Raw genomic sequence first — 15,786 nt, 5'->3', positions numbered from 1 at the left:
AGGCTTAGGAGAGAGATACATGGATGGGCCTCTTAGAGTAGGCCAGAGTGTGAAGGTATTTGTATTCCTCGTAATTGTCCCCAGAGTGCATTCTTTGTAGAGGAGACTCTCAGCAATCAAGTGGATGAGATGATCTATTTTGTTGATGTTAGCCAACCTTTTCCTTCAGCTACCTTAATGTTTGCTCAGTAGGCCCTTGAACAAAATGGTCATGGCAGCTGGAATGGGGTCTATATGTGGACTCGACAGCAGGTTCTTCTCACTGGAGCTGATCTCTCTAGCATCACTGTTTAATGGGCAATCTGCTTATCAGCAGAGACCAAAGGCTAAAGCATCAGTGTGGTTCCATTCCACAGGGAACCAGATAGTCATCTGGTGGGAGGTTAGTTACACTAGACTCCTTTCATCATGGGAGAAGGCACAAAATGTCCTTACAGGAATAGATACATAGTCTGAATACAAATTTGCTTTTCATACTTGTAGTGTTTTTGCCAGCACCACCATGTGGACTCATAGAATGCCTTATTCATCAACATGGCATCCCACCGAACAGTGCCACCAACAAAGGAACTCATTTTAGGATGAAGGAAATGTGATAAGCTCATCTCCATGGAATTAATTGATCTTATCCTGTGTCCCATCATGCAAAAACATCTGTCTTGATATGTCAACTGAAGAACCACATCAACTGAAAAATGATGAGGTTTATACATTTGGAAAGGAGAGTTTTTATGGAGTCTCACTCTGTTGCCCATGATGGAGTACAGTGGCACGATCTCAGCTCACTGCAACCTCCGCCTCCTGGGTTCAAGCGATTCTCCTGCCTCAGCCTCCTGAGTAGATTACAGGCATGTGTCACCACACCCAGCTAATTTTTGTATTTTTAGTAGAGACAGGGTTTCACCATGTTGGCCAGGCTGGTCTCAAACTCCTGACCTCAGGTAATCCACCCACCTCGGCCTCCCAAAGTGCTGGGATTACAGGTGTGAGCCACCGTGCCCGGCCGCTGAGAGTTTTATTTCTCATAAGGGGTTGCAACCTGCAGGCTGGCAATCTTGCATGCTGGGAAGCAAAGTCTCTGGCTGGACACATCAAGGGAGGAGTAAAGGGAACAAGAATTGAAGCTAAGAGGGTTGGCTAAGTATACATATTCAACAGGTTATAAGAGGAGCTATGACTATTCATGAAGGAGAGGCACAGGCATGTGTAGTAAGCTAACATGTAGGCAACAGGTGTCCCATGTTCACTTTGGGATAGAGACTTAACATTTAGATGTATTACAATTAGGCTCTATACATCAAAAGGTGAAGCAGAGGACATGAAATTCCTCTGTGCGCAGCCTCTGTAGAATAGTCAGAACTACCCCATGATCAGTGGCCTCTGATCAGGAAGAAATGCTAGTCAGTTGTTGTATCAAACCACAAAAGGGAGGGGCACCATCAGGTGTCAGGTGGTTGGTTGATATCAGTGGTGGAGCAAATCTTTCAAAAGCACTGGTTTCTGTTTAACTCTTAGGGAAGAAAGCTTATTGGCAGTTAGCAAGAGAGGGGGTAAAATGAGGCATGTCCTATCTCCCATCCCATCATGGCTGGGAACTAAGTTTTGAAAGTTTCTCTGGGGCCCACTTAGCCAAGAGAGGGGCCGTTTAGTGGGTTGCAGTGGTGGGTGGGGGCATAGAATTTAATTTAATTTAATTTAATTTTTTGAGACGGAGTCTCACACTGTCACCCAGGCTATAGCGCAGTGGTGCAATCTCAGGTCACTGCAACCTCTGCCTCCCGGGTTCAAGTGATTCTCCTGCCTCAGCCTCCCGAGTAGCTGAGATTACAGGTGCCTGCCACCACGCCTGGCTAATTTTGTTGTATTTTTAGTAGAGACGGTGTTTCTCCATGTTGGTCAGGCTGGTCTCGAACTCCTGATCTCGTGATTTGCCAGCCTTGGCCTCCCAAAGTGTTGGGATTACATGCGTGATGCACCACGCCCAGCCTGGATTTTATTTTATTATGTTTTTAATTTTTAATTTTTTTTTTTTTTTTTGAGACAGAGTCTCGCTCTGTGGCCCAGGCTGGAGTGCAATGGCATGATCTCGGCTCACTGCAACCTCTGCCTCCTGGGTTCAAGTGATTCTCCTGCCTCAGCCTCCCAAGTAGCTGAGATTACAGGCGCCCGCCACCATGCCCAGCTGATTTTTGTATTTTTGTAGAGATGGGGTTTCATCATGTTGATCAGGCTGGAATCTAACTCCTAACCTCAAGTGATCCACCTGCCTTGGCCTCCCAAAATGCTGGTATTACAGGTGTGAGCCACCGCACTCAGCCAGGATTTTATTTTTATTTCTCAGAATGGTGAAATTTCCTGATGAAAGCTCAGTAATGACACCAGCAGGGTGGCAGCACCCAGCAAGTTTGGGATTCTGTCCTACTGAACCTACTATGTGCTTTACATCATAGGCCAATATATCATATTCTCTCCATTGTTGCCATAGTGTATGGGTCCAAGATTCAAGGGGTAGAGGTAGGAGTGACCCCCTCACTGAAAAAATATTTGCTTTCCATTTCTACATGTTGGACTCAGTGGGTTAGGAAGTTCTAGTGCAGGAGAAATGCTTCCACCAGGGAATATGACAGGATTCTGACATTTGAGAAGCTGACACCCTGCTCTCTGGCCATTTTATGCTCCTCAATCTTCGAACAGCAGCATGATGAACAGGGGGCAAATAAGGAGTCACTGTACTGAGCAGGGTGGTCTATTCTGACTACTACACAATGAAGGCAAGAAGGACTGTGTCTAGAACCCACCGACTTTCAGTGGGCTTCCTCTTATCACTCTCTTGCTCAATAGTATTGGTCAATGAAAACTGGTAATTCAATCAAGGCAAGATTATAAGGACCCAGATTCAGTGGCGATAAAGGTTTCAGGAACTTTATCAGGTAATGTATCCCGGCCTGCTGAGATGCTGGAAGAGGATAAGGGAAACATGGAGTGAATGATAGAAAAAAGAGGTATGATTATCAACTGAAGGCTTGCTTCCCGTTTTAGAAGCGGGGACTGTAGCAACTATGTTTATGTTAATAGCTCCTCCTTCTCTTCTACTTTGTGTAAAAACCACTGGTGTTGGCTAATATTTTAGATTTCATGTGGGCATATATATGAATGAATCAACATCATCCTGTAATGATACAGTAGCTGATAGGACTTTGAACATTCTGTTTTGAGGACATGAGTTTTTCATCCAGACAAAAAGCAAGAGTGGATGTAGAGGGGACAAAAGGAATGGGCAGTACTGGAAATTCTGTTTTCCCTTTCAAGATCCACTTTTAACCTTTCTCCAGCCTGCTCTGTCCCCTGACCCATATAAACTGCATTCACCAGCATTTTTTGCATTGTGACTTCTTCTAGCCTTTAGCCCATGGGAGGTATCAGCAGGAGATCAGATGGTGAAGGAGAGAAAGATTGGGGTATTTTTCAGACTCCCTCCCTGCTGGGATATGAATTGGCAGTGACTATATTTCTCCACAGAAACCCACAGTTCCCTTTGGGTGTTGCTTTCCTTATAGCTACTGCTACAGCTCTCACTAGTTTTTGGTAAGGACTCCCTCCCCTTGCCCCTAGAGGCTTAGGAGTGCTAATGTTTTCTCGTGTTGCTATCCCAGAGGTGCTTCACCACCTGTTGTAGGTTTCCCTTAATCCTGCCCACATCCTTGTGCATGGTTGTTTCATTAAACTCTCTTTAATTATTCCTTTTAAGTATGTCATCTGCTTCCTGTCATGAACCCAATGATATAATTCCTAGTACTGGTTTATATGTAGCTTCTCTCTTCCTTTTTATGATCAGTCTTGCCAGAAGATTGTCAATTTTATTAGACTTTTCAACCAGCCAAGTTTTGGTTTTATTGATCCTTTATAATGGATATTTTCTTTTTCATTAATTTTTTAAAGATACCTGCTTATTCTCAGCCAGGCACAGTGGCTCAAGCCTATAATCCCAGCACTTTGGCAGGCCAAGGCAGGTGGATCCACTTGAGGCCAGGAGTTAGAGACCAGCCGGCCAACATAGAGAAAAACCTGTCTCTACTAAAAATACAAGAAAATTATCCCAGCTACTCCGGAGACTGAGGCATGAGAATCATTTGAACTCAAGAGACAAAGGTTGCAGTGAGCCAAGATTGCACCATTGCACTTCAGCCTGGGTGACAGAGCGAGACTCTGTCTCAAAAACAAACAAACAACCACAAAAAACCCTGCTTATTCTGGAATTGTATGAATGTTTGCTATTTTAAAGTTTCTTTATTTCTATTTTCATTTACTCTGTTTACTCTGTTATTGGATGCTTAGCTTTTGAATTTTCAACCTTTTTTTCTTTAATAATACAAAGGTGTAAGGGCATATTTTTTAAAATATCACTTTAGCTGCAACCCATAATTTCTGTCATTAGTTGTGATATGTAATATTTTTGTTATTATTTGGTACTAAGTATTTTATCTTTTTTGACTTTTTCTTTGACCTGTGATTTATTTCAAAGTATGATCATTTTCTTTTTTATAATTTTCTTTCTTTATCTTTTTGTTATTGATTTACAATTTAATTGCATTGTGGTCAGAAAATGTGAACTGGTTAAGATTGATTCTTTGAAACTTGTTTACTTATTTTATATTTTTATTTTTTCTTTGAGACAGAGTCTCACTCTGTCACTCAGGCTGGAGTGCAGTGGTGCAATCTCGGCTCACTGCAACCTCCACCTCCCAGGTTCAAGTGATTCTCCTGCCTCAGCCTCCCGAGTAGCTGGGATTACAGGCTTGTGCCACCACACCTGGCTAATTTTTTTTTTTTTTTTTTTTTTTTTTTTGGTAGAGAAGTGGTTTCACCATGTTGGCCAGGCTGGTCTCAAACTCCTGACCTCAAGTGATCCGCCAGCCTCGGCTTCCCAAAGTGTTGGGATTATAGGCATGAGCCATCGCGGCTGGCCGACATTTGTTTTTTTTTAAAGCTAGTATATGGTTAATTTTTATACACGTTCGATGTGCTGGACCACCACTAGATGACACATTGCCTTTGTGTGAATTAGGAAAATATGCTCTATCTTCCAGCTAAATGCAGTACCACACTTGAACGTGTGGTTTGGCAAGTGGAGCATGGCATGGAGTTTGGCCCCCACTTTTCCCTTTGGCTAGGTCCCTTTGATCTGTGAACACGGCCCTGCTTCTTCTTTTTTTTTTTTCTTTTCTTCACTCCCTCCCTCTACTTCTGTTCATGTGTTCTTATAAAGGATGTTTATTTTCCAGTTGCTAGGTACAGTGTTCTATGTATAGCTACCAGATCAAGCATATTCATTTGTTCAAATTTTCTACATCATCACTGATTATTTTGTCTGCTTCATCTGTCAATTTCTGAGAGACATGAACTAAAGACCCTGTCTGTGGTGGTGAATTTGTCAATTTGTTCTCGTAGTTCTGTTAATTTTTGCTTCACATGTTTCAAAACTGTAATTGAGTACATTCAAGACTAGGATTGCTATATTTTCTCAGTCAATTGAAACTTTTATGAATACATAGTAACCCTCCTTAAACATAGTAATTATGTTTCTTTTATTTTCTTTATTTTTGAGACAGAGTCTCACTCGTTGCCCAGGCTGGAGAACAATGTTGCCATCTCTGCTCACTGCAACCTCCGCCTCCCCAGTTCAAGCGATTCTCCTGCCTCAGCCTTTCAAGTAGCTGGGATTACAGAGATGCACCACCATGCACGGCTAATTTTGTATTTTTAGTAGAGATGGAGTTTCACCGTGTTGGTCAGGCTTGTCTCAAACTCCTGACCTCATGTGATCCACCCTCCTTGGCCTCCCAAAGTGCTGGGATTACAGGCGTGAGCCACCGTGCCTGGCTTTGTCTTTTTTTTCTTTTGAGACGGAGTCTTGCTCCGTTGCCCAGGCTGGAGTGCAGTGGCGCGATCTTGGCTCACTGCAAGCTCCGCCTCCCGGGTTCACGCCATTCTCCTGCCTCAGCCTCCCGAGTAGCTGGGACTACAGGCACCCGCCACCACGCCCGGCTAATTTTTTGTATTTTTAGTAGAGACGGGGTTTCACCGAGTTAGCCAGGATGGTCTCGATCTCCTGACCTCGTGATCTGCCCTCCTCGGCCTCCCAAAGTGCTGGGATTACAGGCACGAGCCACCGCACCCGGACTTATTTTTCTTTTAAAGTCTATTTTATCTGATATTTACCTTAATATCAAGAAGAAATTAAAAGACAAAAGAAATTAAGTTACAACAGCTTAATTTTTGTTGATATTAGTATTTGGCTGGTGTATTTGCCCCATCATTTCACTTTCAAACTTCTTGTGTCCCTGTGTTTTAGGGATGTCCCTTAAAAATAGCTAGATTTCAGTGGGGCACAGTGACTCACGCCTGTAATCCCAGCACTTTGGGAGCCCGAGGTGGGCAGATCGTTTTAGCTCAGGAGTTTGAGACCAGTCTGGGCTGCCTCTACAAAAAATACAAAAATTAGCCGGGTGTGGTGGTGAGTGCCTTTAGTCCCAGCTGTTTGGGAGGCTGAAGTGGGAGGAAAAAGAAAAAGAAAAAGAAAAAGAAAAAGAAAAAGAAAAAGAAAAAGAAAAAGAAAAAGAAAAGATCTTGTTTTTACCAAAGGAGCACTGTAGACAGGAAGGAGACAAGTAGATTGGTTTGGCATAAACAGCCTTAGCATAAAATGCAGAAGTTATCAAGTAGCTTATTCTAAAGAACTTTTCTTCATTTTAAATCTCAAAAAACCCTTTGCATTCATTCTTTAATTATTTTGTTATTTTGTCTTGTTTTGCTTTTATGTGCTTCCTTTTTGGTCCCATTATTTGTCTTCACTGAGATGGTAAGTTATAAGATTGCTTGACCTTACAGTAACCTAAAATCAACCTATCATTCCATGCATCAGACTGTCAACATTGAAACTACCCAATCCCTGGCCTCCACCACAGACCTCAGTCCCTGAATAGCACATTGGTATCCATGAGCTTGTGAGATCACCAGGGAAAAATCCCCCCAGCTGCTGAGATAATACCAGATGCTGATAGCAAAGAGCAGGCAAGCCAACAACAAGGATGCAGAAGATTTAATAGCTTTGCAATCTTATAGATCAAAAAGCCAATTAGCTCTGAGTAATTCCTAAAGGAGTCATCATACCATGTAAAAATAGTTCTGCAGTTTCTGGAAGAAGGGAAAACCAGGCCTCAAAGGGCATCATTGCACTCAGGTCATACCACAAGTGTGACATACTGATTACTATGCATACTGCACAGTTCAATGTTTGGAAGAAGAAATCACTGTGATACGTGGCAAGGTAAGCCACAGTACAGGAGAATACTGTAGCTCAGTGGTTCTCAAAAGGGGACTGTTTTGCCCTCCAGGAGACATTTAGCAATGTCTGGAAACGGTTGTAATAACTGGTGTGGGTGTGTGTGTGTGTGTGTGTGTGTGTGTGTGTATGGGGGCTGCTACTGACATCTAGTGAGTCAAGGCCAGAGATGTTGCTAAACATTCTACAATGCAGAGGACCCCTGCCCCCTGGCCCCCATCCCCCCTATCCCCACAAAAAATTATCTGACCCAGGTTGAAAGTCCTTGCTGTAGACTACACAGAGAAGTATACATAAGTAGCAAGATAGTGCTTCTTGTATCACAGAAGCCGTCTTGTAATAATGACTTCAAAGTTTTCCAGGAAGGATGATGGTACATGAAGATTCACTGTATCATTCTGTTTGCTTTGTATACATTTTAAATTGTCCATAATAAGGAAACATGAAAAGATTAGAGGGCACTTCTATATTTGATCCTCCTCAAAACGGCAGAAGGTTTTTACAAGCAGAAATCACTGAAGTTAATAGGTGGATATTTTCTAGTGGGTGGCTTTAGAATTTCAAAGTGAGACAGGACACTAGAAGACTAGATACAGCTGGTGAAAAACAATCATAAACAATGGAGCATTTTCCCAGAACCAGTTCTGAATACAGCACATAACTTAAATAGTTTTTCAATGCAAATGAACCTGGTTCATTTGACAAAACTTGCCATATTTAGAAGATACTAGCTCTAAAGTTCATATGTGGGGTAGGATTTCTTCATTTGGATTGTCTGTATTTTCTGCCAAACGTGTGTTTTTTTTTTTTTTAATTTTTTTATTATACTTTAAGTTATAGGGTACACGTGCACAACGTGCAGGTTTGTTACATATGTATACATGGGCCATGTTGGTGTGTTGCACCCATTAACTCGTCATTTACATTAGGTATATATCCTAATGCTATCGCCCCCCACCCCACAACAGACCCCGGTGTGTGATGTTCCCCTTCCTGTGTCCAAGTGTTCTCATTGTTCAATTCCCACCTATGAATGAGAACATGAGGTGTTTGGTTTTTTGTCCTTGTGATAGTTTGCTGAGAATGATGGTTTCCAGCTTCATCCATGTCCCTACAGAGGACATGAACTCATCATTTTTTATGGCTGCATAGTATTCCATGGTGTATATGTGCCACATTTTCTTTCTTTCTTTTTTTTTTTTTTTCTGTCAAGTCTGCTTTATTTAAGTCAATATTAGACCTGCTGTTCCTAAACAGAAATGCCCTGATGACAGAGGAGTGGGAGGGAAGCAGGCTCATGTGAGGGTGTGGGAAGGCCACTTGGCCCAAAATGTTTGCAAGAAATACACCAGGAAAAGCCTATTTTAATTCTCCTGCATTAGGAACTGCCCTGTGAGATTCCTGCAAAATAATCCTCCAGGCTCAGGACTATTCCTCTTCTCTTGTGCTAGACACATCTCTCTTCTGGAAAGTTTTCCTTCCTTTTTTTTTTTTTTTTTTCTGTTGACTTTTTTTTTTTTTTTTATTGATCATTCTTGGGTGTTTCTCGCAGAGGGGGATTTGGCAGGGTCATAGGACAATAGTGGAGGGAAGGTCAGCAGATAAACAAGTGAACAAAGATCTCTGGTTTTCCTAGGCAGAGGACCCTGCGGCCTTCTGCAGTGTTTGTGTCCCTGGGTACTTGAGACTAGGGAGTGGTAATGACTCTTAACGAGCCTGCCGCCTTCAAGCATCTGTTTAACAAAGCCCATCTTGCACCGCCCTTAATCCATTTAACCCTGAGTGGACACAGCACATGTTTCAGAGAGCGCAGGGTTGGGGGTAAGGTCATAGATCAACAGGATCCCAAGGCAGAAGAATTTTTCTTAGTACAGAACAAAATGAAAAGTCTCCCATGTCTACCTCTTTCTACACAGACACAGCAACCATCCGATTTCTCAATCTTTTCCCCACCTTTCCCCCTTTTCTATTCCACAAAACCGCCATTGTCATCATGGCCCGTTCTCAATGAGCTGTTGGGTACACCTCCCAGACCGGGTGGTGGCCGGGCAGAGGGGCTCCTCACTTCCCAGTAGCGGCGGCCGGGCAGAGGCGCCCGTCACCTCCCGGACGGGGCGGCCGGCCGGGCGGGGGGCCGACCCCCCCACCTCCCTCCCGGACGGGGCGGCCGGCCGGGCGGAGACGCTCTTCACCTCTCAGACGGGGCGGCTGCCGGGCGGAGGGTCTCCTCACTTCTCAGACGGGGCGGCCGGGCAGAGACGCTCTTCACCTCCCAGACGGGGTCGCGGCCGGGCAGAGGCGCTCCTCACATCCCAGACGGGGCGGCGGGGCAGAGGCACTCCCCACATCTCAGACGATGGGCGGCCAGGCAGAGACGCTCCTCACTTCATCCCAGACGATGGGCAGCCGGGCAGAGACGCTCCTCACTTCCTAGACAGGATGGCGGCCGGGCAGAGACGCTCCTCACTTTCCAGACTGGGCAGCCAGGCAGAGGGGCTCCTCACATCCCAGACGATGGGCGGCCAGGCAGAGAGGCTCCTCACTTCCCAGACGGGGTGGCGGCCGGGCAAAGGCTGCAATCTCGGCACTTTGGGAGGCCAAGGCAGGCGGCTGGGAGGTGGAGGTTGCAGCGAGCCGAGATCACGCCACTGCACCCCAGCCTGGGCACCATTGAGCACTGAGTGAACGAGACTCCGTCTGCAATCCCGGCACCTCGGGAGGCCGAGGCTGGCGGATCACTCGCGGTTAGGAGCTGGAGACCAGCCCGGCCAACACAGCGAAACCCCGTCTCCACCAAAAAAATACGAAAAACAGTCAGGCGTGGCGGCGCGCACCTGCAATCGCAGGCACTCGGCAGGCTGAGGCAGGAGAATCAGGCAGGGAGGTTGCAGTGAGCCGAGATGGCAGTACAGTCCAGCTTTGGCTCGGCATCAGAGGGAGACTGTGGAAAGAGAGGGAGAGGGAGACCGTGGGGAGAGGGAGACGGGAGAGGGAGACGGGAGAGGGAGAGGGAGAAGGAGAGGGACCCGATTATTTTCTTTTATCTCAGCAGTCAGCAGGGCGTAATGTAATTTATTTGCTTATATTTATGGCTTTCCCAAAGACTATTATTTCTCTATTCCCAGTGTCTAGCACATATTAGGTGCTTGAAAAATGCGTGTTTGTATTAGTGGTTAGGGGTAGATATTACGGAAGAAGATGAAGTCTACTTGTTGGCCTGTGGATGGCATTTCTCTGTTCTAATGGGAAGTAAGGCCGAAGACTTCGGAGGGCGCAACCCGTGTAGTAACCTCGCAAAGGGGCCCGCGAGTCTCCACGTCGTTGGCTGCCTTGCCTCGGGTTTCCGCTGGGTGGAGAGGAAAGTGGGGCGGGAAATCGAAAAACGAACTCTCAGCTCCCGGCATTCCTCGTGGGCGGTGCTCCCCTTTGACCCTTCGCTCGCGTGCTACACATCCGGGCTTCTGCTACTAGTGAGAGGAAGATGGCGGCCGCGGCTGTGGTGGTTCCCGCAGAGTGGATAAAGAACTGGGAGAAATCAGGGAGAGGCGAATTGTGAGTGTTCGGGCCGGAGGCAGGCGCACTGCCGGGCCGGGCCAGGGCGTCAGCTGCACTCTCACCTGTAGTGGGAGGTTGAGGGGGAAAGATGTACCCCCTCCCCCACCCGGGCGGCGGGCGTGGATGGTCGTCTAGGAGTTTCGAACTCGGGGAGAGGTGCTGTTTACCGCCGCGGACCTCCTTCCTTCCCTGGCCTCCCAGAAATCGCTACTGCCTGCGGTAGCTCGGCTTCCTTTAGCCTCTTAGTAGAACTCTTATTCCGCCCCTGCAGGTCTCCGCGCTCCCTCTTGGTCTCTTTTTGTGTCCCCCTCTTCGCTTGATCTCACTTGGCTCCTTTATCTTTATGGGGCTGAGCCGGGGCAATTCGGACTTTCCATCTCTCTCTGTGCCATTTCTTCACTCTGCACCCGTTGGACTCCGCAGTTTGGAGCTTGGCGCCTCCTCTGCCTGAAGTCCAAGGAGGGCGAACCGTCCCGGATTCCCCTCCCCTCCTCTTCGCCCGCTGCCGCGAAGCCCGGGGCGCCGCGAAGAACCCGGTTTGGCACCTCTCGCCCTCCCGGGGAGCGGTCTCTCGACTGTCCCGGCCTCGCGTAGCGCCGTGGGGAAGTGTGGCAGGGATTGCCGCTTTCCCTGAAGAACCACCGACATTTCTTTGCTCCGTCTTTTCACCTTAGAGCTATTTCGGGTTGGATTCAACTTTCGTCATTAAATGTTCCCTAAACCCCATTTTATCCTGGGACTGCAACTAATTCTGGCAGCTCTCCAAGCTTCTCCAGTACCTAGGATAACGCGTTTCCTTTAGTCGTGAAACTTTCCCCCGTAACACCGAAAACAGTAATTTGCCATACCCCTAGTCTTCTCGCCCCCACGTTAGAGCGCTCCCTCCTCCCCTTCCCCTGGAAGGAGTCGTTTAAGCAGCAAAGCAAACCTCAGATATAAGAACAAATATTAATAACATCTCATTTCCTTCTCTGGGTCGCTTTTAGATGCTAAAGCTCAACCCTGGATGAAATTAACCCTCGTTAGCCATTTTTGTCGTCCTTGCCCACCCCTCTCCATTTCTAGTAGCCAGTTTACCGTGGCTCATGCTAAAGATTCAAATCTTTGTAACTTCGTTACTTGGAACGAAACACGAGGAACGCGTTGCCGGATCCCGCGCTTGTAATAGTGCCAGCCTATGTGGCTTCCTCCCCCGCACCCCCCGCACTGCTGTATGAAGTCTTAACAGTGTGAGCTCTAGAATTCCCTAAATAAGCGGCTGTCTTAGCCACTTAAGTAGCTGAGTGACCTTGGGTAAGTTCCTTAACCACTTGGACTGTTTCCCCTTGAGTAAATTGGGAATAATAAGTACTCTACTCAAAGGATTGTTGTGAAGACTAAATAATGCCTGTAAAGCACTTGGCTTATAGTAAGTGCTCAAGTGATAGCTATTAAAAGTAATATTATTCCAACCTTTAGATATTTAAACTTCTCAGGACAGCTCATGCACTTAAAGTCTGTACCACTCAGGTTAGCAATTAATTGGTCTCTGACTTATTCATGTGTGTTTATTCTTGCACTGTAATGAATTGGGAGGCCTTTGAAATATAGGGACTATGTCTCATATTTCTTTTGGTTTAACACATGCCCCGCCCCCCCAGCCTATGCTTAGAATGCTTATTGGTTTATTAATTGTCAGAGAAGGCTATTTGATAAATCTTCGTTTTTAACTATAATGAACATTTTACAAATCCTCGTATGTGCTAGTTAACAAATAGCTGTCAAGTTTGATAGCTAGTTGACAAATAGCCATCAAGTTTGGGGAAGGCAAGATGGGAAGTTACCCAGCCAGACCATCATCTTCATCGATATTAGGGTAATCCCCCAAAACTGATAAAAGCAGTTCATTGTTTTGTTTACTTTCAAAGCCAGCTCATTTATTTAGGGGCTGTTATGTTTGTAGATTGCTCAGCTTCCTCCTTTCAGCTACTGTTTTTTGACAGTTTTACTTTTTTTTTTCCCCCTTGAGACGGAGTCTCGCTCTGTCGCCCAGGCTGGAGTGCAGTGGCGCGATCTCGGCTCACCGTAACCTCCGCCTCCCACGTTCAAGCGATTCTCCTGTCTCAGCCTCCTGAGTAGCTGGGACTACAGGCGCGTGCTACCACGCCCGGCTAATTTTTTGTATTTTTACTAGACACGGAGTTTCACCGTGTTATCCAGGATGGTCTCCATCTCCTGACCTGGTGATCCGCCCACCTCGGCCTCCCAACAGTTTTACTATTATTGCTGCCACCTTAGCATGAGTGGTATTAGGGCTATAAGGTGAAATTCTGCTTGGCTTCTGACTGGTAATGGTTTGAGAAAAAGTGATGTAGGAGATCGAAATACTTAGATAAAATGGAATTTTAGGTTCACATTATGTATATTTACATAATACATGCTATCTGTCATAGTTCTTATGTTTGAAGAGCTGCTTAAAAACTGTTATTAGAAGCCGAGCGTGGTGGCTCACGCCTGTAATCCCAGCAAATTGGGAGGCCGAGGCGGGTGGATCACCTGAGGTCAGGAGTTCCAGACAAGCCTGACCAACATGGAGAAACCCCATCTCTACTAAAAGTACAAAATTTGCCGAGCGTGGTGGCACATGCCTGTAATCCCAGCTACTCAGGAGGCTGAGGCGGGAGAATCGCTTGAATCTGGGAGGCGGAAGTTGCGGTGAGCGGAGATCGCGCTGTTGCACTCCAGCATGGGTAACAAGAGCGAAACTCTTTAAAAAAAAAAAAAAAACAAAAACCCAAACAAAAACAAACCAAAAACAACAGCAAAAAAACCTGTTATTAGAACTTACGTGTATGTAGTTATTGCATGACTTGTGGAATGTGGATTGAATTATAGTAGATCCAAATCAGTATAGTCAGTTTTATGATTGCATTCTGTTACAGGAAGAGAATTTAAAATTGTGTAACATAATAAGCTATTTTAAATAGTTAAACACATCACCATCCAGTACTTAGTTTCAGTTTATTTGACCTGTTTTCCCTCTATGAAACTTTGTTGCATATAGCATGTCTTTGGAGTTTTTGTGTCTTCCTAAAGATAGGTGTTAGCATTTTCATATTACTAGGCAGAATACGTGGTGGTGCAAATATATTACAAAAAACCTTTTTCCTTTGTCTGAAAACAGCTTCTGAAATATAAAACAGCAACTGGAAATGTTAAAAATGAAGGTAGTGTGCCACCACATTATTAGTGAAGCTATAGATTTGGCGTTTAGAATATGACCAATATTTAAAATTATACCTTGGGTGAATTTTTCCTTTTTAACAAGATAAATTAGCAGATAAGCTTTAACTTGACTGAAAATTATCTTTTTAAAAATAATGTGATATATTTCATGAGGTTGTTAATTCATTTCTTGTCTGTCACTTCTTACCAGCATAAATCTTTTCTGGGGGTGGTAGTCAGCTAGTGTTGAAAGCAACATAAGAGATGTATGGGGCATTTTATAACTTTCAGATAGGGCAAATTCTTAACTGTACGCCATGAAAAACAACTGTCTATTAAATGGAAGGTCTTGACTTTGAAGAATGTTTTATTAGGTAATTAGAGAGAAAAGTAAAACTGTATTTTGCCTATCTGAATGGTCCATCCATCACATATCTAGATATCCCATTATGTTTCCAGAGATACCAATTATGTTTTTAATGCTAAATTATAGAACTCTTAAAGAGTGACCTTTAAAGTGATCTTAAAGAGGGATCAGAAGGGCAAAGGAGGACTACCAAAATGTAATTGTAATTTCCAATAATACTTATATCTAAATGCAAACTCTTCCAAATTCTGAAAGATATGTATTTAATCACTTAATTTTGGAATTAGTTTTAGTTTCTTGATTATTTTATATTGACGTAGAACTTGCCATGATGAAGCTAATAAACTTGCATGTACTGGTAGATCCAGTGTAGAATTCTGTTTTTGGTAGAAATCATTAACACAGTGAACTCAGCATTTCTTTGTTACAGGCAACCTTAATGGAGAATTGATATTCGAAGCTCTTAATCTGAAGATGCTAGCCTCATGTTAATACTTAGTCTAATTTTGAAATACTTACGTTTGTTGAATATCATCTGTTTGTTTGAATAGCTTATTTAGGTATCAATTAGAAAGTTTTGTTAGGTCTTACCTTATTAATGGTAGTTACAATAAAGTTTTAAAATTTAATTGCCAAATGTTTTGATTGTTGTTCTTTTTCTTCTTCTGCTACTACATGATTTTAGACATTCTAGAACTTATTTAAGTATATTTGGTTGTTCAGAACATGCCATCTGATCTGAATTTCTTGGAGGATTCCAGGTAAAGGGATATAATCATTCTAAGAAATTTTAGTCTTGGTGGTTGAGTCTTTTTTCCTCGCAAAGTTGCTCCAAATTCAGCCAAAGCTTTATCTGAAACCTTTTCTTGATGTCTCAGTTTTCATTTAGCATTTAATTTCCCATTTCGACCTGTATTCATAAGCTAAGTATAAGTCTTAGTCTGTTTTCCTGGGAAGAGAAACATTCTTCACAAAATGTTGAAGCAATGTCAGGAGGTTGTATAGGCTACTACTTTGTTTGTTAAAAAAAATTATTCTGTAATGCTCTAACGTTTAGGTAGGGTGAGTGCTGTCAATATACTTGTGCTTTTTTCCTACTGTAAGTGCGGCAACTCCTGTTGTCTTTTTTTTTTTTAACATTTCCTGTTTCCTTTTCTTTTAAATGCATGTTTCTACAAGATAAAACTGTGTTGTCCCAGTATTCATTTTTGTGGGTTATGTTTCTGTTCTACAAATGATAATAGAGGTAGCACTTTATTTAACTACATTTAACCTTTTTGTTGTCTTGTTTTAAAGAATTAAGTGAAGCGTAAATGAA

General features: G+C 44.0%; 1 protein-coding gene across 17 annotated transcripts in view, besides 1 other annotated feature; it reads left to right on the top strand.

Annotated features, from left to right (window-relative positions):
* Window positions 10,779-10,858: an enhancer, noted in NCBI's record as "active region_29909". NCBI's record gives its function as "activates an Ori minimal core promoter by ATAC-STARR-seq in GM12878 lymphoblastoid cells {active_cell/tissue: GM12878}" and the evidence as "EXISTENCE:reporter gene assay evidence [ECO:0000049][PMID:35858748]".
* Window positions 10,794-15,786, top strand: part of THOC2 (THO complex subunit 2) — a 132,484-nt gene continuing 127,491 nt past the window's right edge. For all 17 annotated transcript variants that reach the window (XR_007068195.1, NM_001081550.2, NM_001441236.1 and 14 more), the window contains exon 1: window positions 10,794-10,894. Coding sequence is in view for 16 of the 17 variants with exons in the window: in NM_001081550.2 (NP_001075019.1) it covers window positions 10,824-10,894 (71 nt within the window). In the remaining variant the exon portion in view is untranslated. The remainder of the gene's footprint in view (window positions 10,895-15,786) is intronic.

This window comes from Homo sapiens, chromosome X (assembly GCF_000001405.40).
Source record: "Homo sapiens chromosome X, GRCh38.p14 Primary Assembly".
NCBI classification, from domain to species: domain Eukaryota; kingdom Metazoa; phylum Chordata; class Mammalia; order Primates; family Hominidae; genus Homo; species Homo sapiens.
Note: the sequence above shows the minus strand (reverse complement) of the source record. Positions and strands in the feature narration are given on the sequence as shown.